We start from the raw sequence: 10723 nt of genomic DNA, 5'->3' as shown, positions 1-10723 counted from the left end.
CTCTTCTTGGCTTGCAGACAGCCACCCTCTTGCTGTGTCCCATATGGTAAAGAGATAGAGGGAGATCTCTTTTTCCTCTTATAAAGCCAGTTGTATTAAATTAGGGCCCTGTCCTTATGACCTCATTTAACTTTAATTACCTTCTAAAGACCCTGTCTCCAAATATGGTCACAACAAGTGGATTTAGAGGAGTTAGGGTCTCAGCATGTGGATTTAGAGGAGGATTCAATTCAGTCCATAGCAGCAAATATTTATATAACCCAAGTTAAGTAATAGGGCACTGCCAGGCACAGGGTGACTACCCTAATGCTAGCCCCGCAGTGTGTTATTTCTCAATCACATCCTTCTCCCCACATGGAGGTTCCTACAGTCCTGACTTTTATGATAAGTACTTTCTTGCTTAAAAAAAAACAAAAAAAAAAAAACCTTTTTATACAACAGAACATTCTTCAGCCTTAAAAAGGAAGTACATTTGGGCACATGCTACAACTTGGAGGAACCTTGAAGACATTATGCTAAATGAAATAAACCAGTCACAAAAGGACAAATACTGCATAATTCCATTTACATGAGGTTTCTGGAGTAGTCACGTTCATAGAGACAGAAAGTAGAATAGTGGTTGCCTGAGTCTGAGAGGAGGGGGAATGGGGAATTGCTTAATGGGTATAGAGTTCCAGTTTTGCAAGATAAAAAAAGTTGTGAAGATTGATTGCCCAACATATTGTAGGAGTTTTTCCACAACTCCCATTGGTTCTTTGTTGGAATGGACCCCTGCTAGAAAAGACAGATGAAGAGAAAAACAAAGAGATATTCATTAACATGTATATTTTACATATACATGTGGCACACCAAGGGAATGAATAGTTCTCAAAGAGGTGGCTTTGAATTCCAGCTTATATAGCATCTTCAACAAAGAACAGTACATTTTTATTTTATTTTATTTTATTTATTTATTTATTTTTTGAGACAGCGCCTCACTCTGTCACCCAGGCTGGAGTGCAATGGTGTGATCCCAGCTCACTACAACCTCCACCTCCTAGGGTTCAAGCAATTCTCCTGCCTCAGACTCCCAAGTAGCTTGGATTACAGGTGTGCACCACCACACCCAGCTAATTTTGAGTTTTTAGAAAGAGACAGGGTCTCACCATGTCAGTCAGGCTGGTCTCAAACCCCTGACCTCAAGTGATCCACTGGATTTGGCCTCCCAAAGTGCTGGGATTACAGGCGTAAGCCACCACGCTCAGCCAAAGAACAGTAGGTTTTTAGGTAAGTGACAAGAGAAAGGAAAAGAACTTTGAGTTTCTATAGGCAGCAACTTGGGAAGAAGGCAAATAAATCACAGATAAAGGCAAGTTAGGAAAGCTTGCTAATGTCAATTCCTCTGGTATTATCATCTCCAGTCTGATGAGGGTATAAAGTTGTCTTCAGTGTTAACCTTTGCTCTCCCTGGTAGAGAAGGAGCCAGGATGCCCTTTGTCTTTCTAAATCTAAGTCCTGCTTTCAGATAGACAGAGGGAGGGCAGAGAGCTTTCCTGCACTCGCTTTTTCGTGATTGTCTTCAGCTCAACAATTATTCATATTTTGAGGTGGTGTATTTTGGTCTCCCACAATGTGAGTATGCTTAACACTCCTGAATTGTACACTTAAAAATTGTCACGATGGTAAATGTTGTGTTATGTGTATTTTACCACAAGTAAAAATAAAAAATTTAAAAACAAATAAGAAAAAAAACAACAAAAGTTTCATAGCTCCCACTAATTTTGATGCAAGTTAGGACTCTAGGTTTGAATAATAATTATGAAAAAGTTGCAGCTAGCTATTACTGCGCGTTTACTTAGGTACAGTGTTGCAGGAAGTCAGGGACCCCAAATGGAGGGACCAGCTGAAGCCATGGCAGAAGAACGTGGATTGTGAAGATTTCATGGACATTTATTAGTTCCCCAAATTAATACTTTTATAATTTCTTATGCCTGTCTTTACTGCAATCTGTAAACATAAATTGTAAAGATTTCATGGACACTTATCACTTCCCCAATCAATACCCTTGCGATTTCCTATGCCTGTCTTTACTTTAATCTCTTAATCCTGTCAGCTGAGGAGGATGTGTATAGCCTCAGGACCCTGTAATAATTGCATTGACTGAACAAATTGTACAGTATGTGTGTTCGAGCAATATGAAATCTGGGCACCTTGAAAAAAAGAATAGGATAACAGCAATGTTTAGGAAACAAGAGAGATAACCTTAAACTCTGACCACCGGTGAGCTGGGTGGAACACAGCCATATTTCTCTTCTTTCAAAAGCAAATGAGAGAAATATTGCTGAATTCTTTTTCTCAGCAAGGAACATCCCTGAGAAAGAGAATGCACACCTGGGGGTGGGTCTCTGAACTGGCCCCCCTGGGCATTCTGCAGGGGTAAAATAGACCCCAGTCTCCCATAGTGCTCCTAGGCTTATTAGGAAGAGGAAATTCCTACCTAATAAATTTTGGTCAGACCGGTTGCTCTCAAAACCCTGTCTTCTGATAAGATGTTATGGATGACAATGGTGCCCGAAACTTCATTAGCAATTTTAATTTCACCTGGGTCCTGTGGTCCTGTGATCTCGCCCTGCCTCCACTTGCCTTGTGATATTCTATTACCTTGTAAAGTACTTGATGTCTGTGACCCACACCTATTCGCACACTCACTCCCCTTTTGAAACTCCCTAATAAAAACTTGCTGGTTTTTGCGGCTTGTGGGGCATCACGGAACCTACCAACATGTGATGTCTCCCCTGGATGCCCGGCTTTAAAATTTCTCTCTTTTGTACTCTGTCCCTTTATTTCTCAAGCTGGCCAACGCTTAGGGAAAATAGAAAAGAACCTGCATGAATATCGGGGCAGGTTCCCCGATAGTACGGTATCTCATTCAATTCTTAAAAACTCCCTGTGGTAGGTATTATCAACCCCATTTTATAGATGAAATCATCGCAGATGTGCCAGGGTCACCAAATGGTCTCCTCGTACTTTCAGATGGCTTGCTGCTCTGGGTGGCAATAGGGAGCAGAAGAAAGAGGGCTAGATTAGTAATTAGGAGATTGTGACCTTGAGGATGTCCCTTAAATTCAATCCCTTTGATCCAGCCCCTCTGGATCAGAGATTCTTCTGTGCTCTGAGGAATCTTAGGGGTTTCAATAGAGACTCTCCCATTCCCACCCAAAAAGCTGCCTTGATGTGGGGTAGAGAGGTCAGAGGACGGCCTGCCATCCCTCCCCTCCAAACCAAAGCAGTTTGCATGTATCTGTTTTACAATTTGGACTTGTACCCTGGAGAACAGATTCTGCTGCTACAAAGGGTTTTGAAAAGCACTGGATTAGATGATCTCAAAGGTTTCTCTGAGCTCACACTATCTACCTCAAATGAATCTTCTTTTACATTGCATCTCTGGAACTTGTGGATGGGCAGATTCAGCTACATAATTTGCAAGGCCCAGTGCAAAATGAAAATGCAGCACCTCTCATTCATAAAGCAGTAAAAAAGTACCATTAAAAAAACTAAAATAAGCCAGGTGCAGTGGCTCATGCCTGTAATCCCAGCACTTTGGGAGGCTGAGGCAGGTGGATTACTCGAGGTCAGGAGTCTGAGACCAGCCTGGCCAACATGGTGAAACCCCATCTCTACTAAAAAAAAAAAAAATTTAGCCAGATGTGGTGTGCACACCTGTAATCCCAGCTACTCAGGAGGCTGAGGCAGGAGAATCACTTGAACCTGGGAGGTGGAGGTTGTAGTGAGCTGAGCTCGTGCCACTGCACTCCACCCTGGGAGACAGAGTGAGACTGTGTCTCAAAATAAAAAAAACCAAAAAAACTAAAATATAAAATGTCTTCCTTTCTTCTGTGGCCTTTCTTTCCATTTGTCATGGTATTTTATTTGCTGTTTAATGTCATCTAAGTAAAGGGAAAGTAGAATTTTCAATTATGAACATAAAATTTACCATTCATCTTTATAGTGTACAATAACAGTTACAAATGCAAATAAACATAAGAGCATTTAACTTATATGCAGAATCACCAAAGTTACACAATTCGTATTTCATAGTTTGTACATGCATATGTATTTTATTCTTAACCAGAACAGTGGAGTCTGCACAAAACTAAGTCAAGTGTCTTTACTTCATATCTTGATATGAACACATTCCACCAACACTCTCTTCCTTCAACTTACTGATGATAATTAAGAAAAGACTGAAAGAAAAAGGAACTATTGGTTGCCTTATCTTTCCTTTTCTTTCTATGTCATCATTTTCAGCATACGCAGTTAGCTAATTCAGGAAAGCAACAAGAGTTAGAAGGGATATGATAACATTCCTTGGTCATTGGTGTTTCTTTGGCAACCATTTCCTTCTTTCTAAGTTGAAGGCAAGTGCTGGAACCCCTTGGAGCTGTCAGCACCACTGCTTATTCAGTGGTAGACTCAGTGGAAGACAAAACTTACCTTGTACTCGCTGTGAGCTCCCACACATTAAGGGTCCACTAGAATTCTGTGATCATGAGATATGAATGCTATATGAAAATGGCATGTTAAGGAACAGCAGAGGAGATGCATATTGTGTGTATCTCCACTGTTCATGCGCATGCACCATTGGACTTCATTTACAGAACATGAGTTCAAAGATAAGATGATTAAGAATTTTAAAACAGCAACAGCAAACATTAAACCCCAATTGTGGGGCCCTTCTGAACAAAGATCACACACCCTGAAGCTGGTCCTATGGGTGGAGAATGGAGCATGAACATTTTGGTAGGCAATTGCTTTCTTCTTTGGATGTGTCAATGCTTCAAAAAGTAGAAAAGCCTACAAAAAATGCAAATAGTTATAGTAGGTATTACTACTGTTCACTAATACCCAGTTCTCTTCTACTTTCAGGCTCAGCTCATCATGAAGAATGTCCATGTGACTTTGGTTAATAAAATGTGAGTAAAGTTATATATGTCTCTTCTGCACAGAAGCACTTAAGAGCTGGTGCATAATTATTTATCTCCTTTTCCTCCACCACAGTGACTAACAATATCCAGATGGTGGGGTCTCCATCAGACTAGGTTCCTGAGTGAGAAAAATGTGAAACACAACCCCCCACCTTCCCACCTACCTGGAGTGGACATGCAGTAAAAGCAGAAAATAAACTTTTTTTGGTAAAGATTAGGGGGTTATTTGCTATTGCCTAAATTAGTACAGTGTTATTACTGCTTTTGTTCTCAGGAATGTAGCATTTAAAATAATACCACAGCTTTAAATTATCCTTAGAATAACCATAAAACATATATTTTAAAAAACAAAATCTGTAACTTTTTTTCAAAGGCGACTCTGTTTTTCTTGAAATAGTAGAAGCACCTTTGGTAAATTTCGTGGGTGTTTGTGGAATGTTGAATCATGATTAATTTTCATTTGTGTGTTGTTTGAAGGGTAAAACACAAGGATAAAGTTTTGAAGGTGGAACCGAATTTTCCTTTGTACACAGGAATCTCCACTGATATCCCAGAGTCACTGTAATATCCTAGAATCTATAATTCATGCTATTGGGCAAGGCCTTTTCCTTTTAGCAAACCTGATGAATAGAAAGTAGAATAATTCTGCTGTTTATTTTCCCTTGACTCATTTCCAGTAGTGAAGTAGTTAGAAGTATTTGTCTCAAAGAAGATACAAGGAAAAACAAAAGACCTGGATGACCTAGTCTATTTACTATACACACACACACACACACACACACACGTACACACACAATACATATACAACTCTGTATAACTGAAATTCTCTCAAAGAAGTCACAATATATGGTGATTTCACAATTCATATCAAACTCCTCCTCTTTCTCTGGTCTCTGGAAGGAAACAGACTTCATCAATGAAGAGGGCTATTTATAAGAAGGAAAGAATATGGAAAACTTGTTTGAAAAGCAGTCATGAAGTCTGGCATCAGAGATATTTGATGGATTCTTTTGTACTCAAAATTAATGCTCTGAGGAGAGGAAAAGCCAATGAATGCAAAGGTCTGAGCATCAAATAAACAATTCTCATGGTTGGTCTTGATATTTGATGTCAGATAACTTTCAATGAACTAAGCCTCCAATTTCTTTCTTAGAGCAAATAAAAAATCTGTTCTCTATAGACTTTAACAGATGGAAAGGAAATATACTGAGTTATGTAAAATGCTAACTCTAAAATCCAGTTATTCAAAGGCTCATAGAATTTCAAGTAAAATTCATACGTTTTGCGATACCTGATCATTGGCATTTACAGACTTAATGTTTTCTGCCTCAACTATCTTTGGGTGATCTTGAAGTTTCATGTAAGGTAAAACCTTATCATTTTGTGAGAGCACAAATTTGAATAAATTGTCATAATTTTGGGTATCCAGTCACTATAGAAATCCAGAAGGTATGCCTAGCCCACTGCCTTGCAGCCTCACCTCAATGTAATCTTGATATTCTCCATCAGTTGCATTTGTCGTATACAAATGCAGAGGTATACAAATTCTCTTTTGTTTTACAAAGGGTCCTGCAAAGAAAGACAACATCCAGTCCTAATGTTTTTGAAGAAAAGGTGAAAAATCTAAGAAAGTGATTGTTCTTAGCCAGACAATAACTCTGGGATAGAGCCCATTGTCAAATTCTCCCTTGTTTGAGGCTGATGTTGTAATAAGTTTCCCATATATGCTCTGAAGAAACAAAAAGAAAGAAGAAAGAGATTTATGAAACTGTTTTAGTAATTTTGGAGGCTAGGGCACAACTACTTTTCAAGTGAGAAATAAAACTTCAGAAATATACAAAAAGCCTTTAACTGGTAGTTGAGGAAATGAACTGGAAATAATCTCTTTTCTCAGAAGTGGGACTTAGAAGAAGGGCTGTACAAAATGCCTATGAAGCAATAGGCAATATAACTTCTACTGCTGCATTGAAGTACCAAAAGTAAAAGTTGGTTTAATAATCTGCAAAATATAATGGTAAGACAGAGGTGGCTTCAGTTAACCTTCATCACAAGCTGAAGAAATCCATACAGTAAACATGCCCTAGCATATAAAAAAGTGTTAAATTCACAAGTACTCTGTCTACTTTTTAGTCTGCCAAAGTAATTCAAAGATAATTACTTTGTTTGAGAAATACATTTAGTGTTATCTTTATGCTAGGAAATGGATAAACTTGCAAAGGAGACAAAAGACAGTTGTCAGTCATGGGTTTTGTTTGTTTTTTTTTTTTTTTAGTTAATACTTAACAATTACACATATATAGGGAGTAAGTGCAATATTTTGATACATGCATACAATGTGTTATGATCAAATCAGGGTAATTAGAATATCCATCACTCAGACATTTATCATTTTTTTGTGTGGGGAACATTTTAAATCTTTTCTTCTGGCTATGTTGAAATACACAATAACTTTTTGTCTATTCACGCTACTGTGCTGTCGAAAACAAGAACTTCTTATTTAACTTAGAACACATCTAATTGTACAGTTGTACCCATTAATCAAGATTTCTTCACCTCCTTCTCTTCTCAGACTCTGGTAACCATCATTCTACTCTCTACCTTTATGAAATCAGCATTTTTAGCTGCCACATATGGGTGAGAACATGTAATATTTGTCTTTCTGTGCCTGGCTTATTTCACCTAACACAATGACCTCCGGTTCCATCTCTCTTGCTGCAGATGACAGGATTTTGTTATTTTTACGGCTGCATAGTATTTCATTGTGTATATATACCACATTTTCTTTATCCATTCATCTACTGATGGACATGTAGGCTGATACCATAACTAATATTGTAAATAGTGCTGCTGTAAACATGGGGGTGCAGGTATCCCTTGGATATACTAATTTTCTTTCCTTTGAATAAATACCCAGTAGTGGGATTGCTGGATCATATGGTAGTTCTATTTTTGCTTTTTTGAGAAACCATACTGTTTTCTTTAGTGGCAGTACTAACTTACATTACCACAAACAAGATATAAGAGTTCCCTTTTTCTGCATCTTTGCCAGCATTTTTCATTTTTTCTCGTTTTTGATGATAGCCTTTCTGACAGATGTGAGATGATATCTCATTGTGGTTTTGATTTTCATGTCACTGATGACTCGTGATGTAGAACATGTTTTTTCATATACCTGTTGGCCATTTGTATGTCTAGTTTTGAGAAAAGTCTGTTCAAATCATTGGATCACTTATTTAGTTGTTTTTAGAGACAGGGTCTCACTTTGTAACCCAGGCTGGAGTGCAGTGGTGCAATCATAGCTCACTGCAGTCTCAATTTCCTGGGCTCAAATAATCCTCCTGCCTCAGCCTCACAAGTATCAGGGAAAGCAGACATATACCACCATGCCTGGCTAATTTAAAAAAATTTTTTGTAGAGATGGGGTCTCCCTGTATTGTCCAGGTTGGTCTCAAACTCCTGGCCTCAAGCAGTCCTCCTGCCTTGGCCACCAAAATTGTTGAGATCACAGGCATGAGCCACCATGCCCACTTTTTAATGGGATTATTTGTGTTTTTGCTATTGAGTTGTTTGACCTCCTTATATATTCTGAATGTTAGTCACTTGTTGGAGAAATAGTTTATAAATATTTTCTCCCATTCTATAGATTGTCTCTTCACTCTGTTGGTTGTTTCCTTTACTGTGCAGAAGTTTTTTAGTTTAACATGGTCCCATTTGTCTATTTTTGTTTCCGTTGCCTATGCTTTTGAAGTCTTAGCCATAAATGACTTACCTAGACCAATGTCCTAACACGTTTCTCCTATGTTTATTTCTAGTAGCAGTTGAGTTTTGAATCTTATGATTTAATAAGATTTAATAAGTCTTTAATCCATTTTTGAGTTGATTTTTGTATACGGTGAGAGATACAGGTCTATTTGATTTTTCTGCATATGAATATCCAGTTTTCCTAGCACCATTTAAAAAGGATGTCCTTTCCCATTGTATACTCTTGGCACCTTTGTCAAAAGTCAGTTGGCTGTAAATATGTGGATTTATTTTTGGGTTCTCTGTTTCATTTTCATACCAATGCCATGCTATTTTGATTGTTACAACTTTGTAGTATATTTTGAAGTCAGATAGTGTGATACCTCCAGCTTTATTCTTTTTGCTTAGTATTGTTTTTGCTATTCAGGGTGTTTTGTGGCTCCATATGAATTTTAGGATTGTTTTTTCTATTTCTGTGAAGAATGTCATTGGTATTTTGATAGGGATTGCATTGAGTCTGTAGATTGCTTCAGGTAGTATGGTCATTTTAACAATATTAATTCTTCCAGTCCATGAGCAAGGGATGTTTTTCAATTTGTTTGTGTTCTCTTCAATTTCTTTCATCAATATTTTTTAATTTTCATTGTAAAGTTTTTTGCCACCTTAGTTAAATTTATTCCTAGGTAATCTTTTTAGCTGTTATAAATGGGATTGCTTTCTTGATTTCTTTTTTCAGTTAGTTCATTATTGGTATATAGAAAGTCTACTGATTTTGTATGTTAATTTTGTATCCTGCAACTTTACTGAATTCATTTATCAGTTCTAAGAGTTTTTTGGTGGAGTCTTTAGGTTTTTCTCTATATGAGATTATGTCATTTGCAAAGAGGGCCAATTTGACTTCTTCTTTTCCAACTTGAATGTTTTTTATTTATTTTTCTTGCTTGATTGCTCTGACTAGAATTTCCAGTACTATGTCAAATAGGAGTGGTAAACGTGGGCATTCTTACCTAGTTTCAGTTCTTAGAGGAAAGGCTTTCAGATTTTCCCCATTCAGTATGATGGTAGCTGTGGGTTGGTCGTATATAATCTTTATTATGTTGAAGTATGTTGATTCTATGCATGATTTGTTGAGAGTTTTTATAATGAAGGGATGTTGAATTTAATCAAATGCTTTTCTGCATCTATTGAGATGACCATATGGTTTTTGTCCTTCATTTTATTAGTGTAATGTATCATGTTTATTGATTTGCATATGTTGAAACATCCTTGCATCCTTGGGATAAATCCCACTTAATCGTGGTGCACTATCTTTTTGATGTGTTGTTGGATTCATTTCCTAGCATTTTGTTGGTGATTTTTGCATCTGTGTTCATTAGAGATACTGGCCTGTAGTTTTCTTTCTTTTGCTGTGTCCATGTCTGGTTTTCATATTGGAATAATGCTAGCCTTAGAAAATGGGTTGGGGAGAATTTTCTCCTGTTCAATTTTTTGGAGTAATTTGAGAAGAATCAGTGTTAGTTCTTCTTTATAACTTTTGTAGAATTCAGCAGTAAAGCCATCTGGTCCTGGGTTTTTCTTTGTTGGGAGACTTATTATTGATTCAACTTTGTTACTCATTATTGGTCTGTTCAAGTTTTCTATTTCTTCTTCGCTCATTCTTGATAGGTTGTATGTGTCCAGGAATTTATCCATTTCCTCTAGGTCTTCCAATTTGTTAGTGCAGAGTTTTTCATATTACTTTTAAAAGATCATTTGTATTTCTGTGGAATCAATTGTGATTTCTTCTTATTCACTTCTGATTTTTTTTATTTGGATATTCTTTCTTTTTTCTTGGTTAGTCTCGCTAGCAGTTTACCAATTTTATTTATCTTTTCCAAAAACTAACTCTTCATTGCATTGATTCTTTGTATTTTTAGGCTCTATTTTATTTAGTTTTGCTCTGGTCTTTATTATTTCTTTCCTTCTACTAATTTTGTGTTTGGTCTGTTTTTACTATTCAAGTTTCTTAAGGTGCATCA

The 10723-nt window shown here is 37.2% G+C and overlaps 1 long non-coding RNA gene across 2 annotated transcripts in view; it reads left to right on the top strand.

The window, feature by feature from the left end:
- Positions 1–4429: 4429 nt before the first annotated feature.
- The window catches only part of LOC105374593 (uncharacterized), a 56709-nt gene continuing 50415 nt past the window's right edge, over positions 4430–10723 (top strand). Inside the window, exons 1-3 of one of the 2 annotated variants that reach the window (XR_001739455.2) lie at positions 4430–4779; positions 4906–4952; positions 5038–5170. This is a non-coding gene — a long non-coding RNA (uncharacterized LOC105374593). Of the gene's footprint in view, positions 4780–4905; positions 4953–5037; positions 5171–10723 lie in introns of those variants that run through there. The other variant, XR_001739456.2, reaches the window with a different exon arrangement.

This window comes from Homo sapiens, chromosome 2 (assembly GCF_000001405.40).
Source record: "Homo sapiens chromosome 2, GRCh38.p14 Primary Assembly".
Lineage (NCBI taxonomy): Eukaryota > Metazoa > Chordata > Mammalia > Primates > Hominidae > Homo > Homo sapiens.
This window is presented reverse-complemented; position numbering and strand designations above follow the sequence as displayed.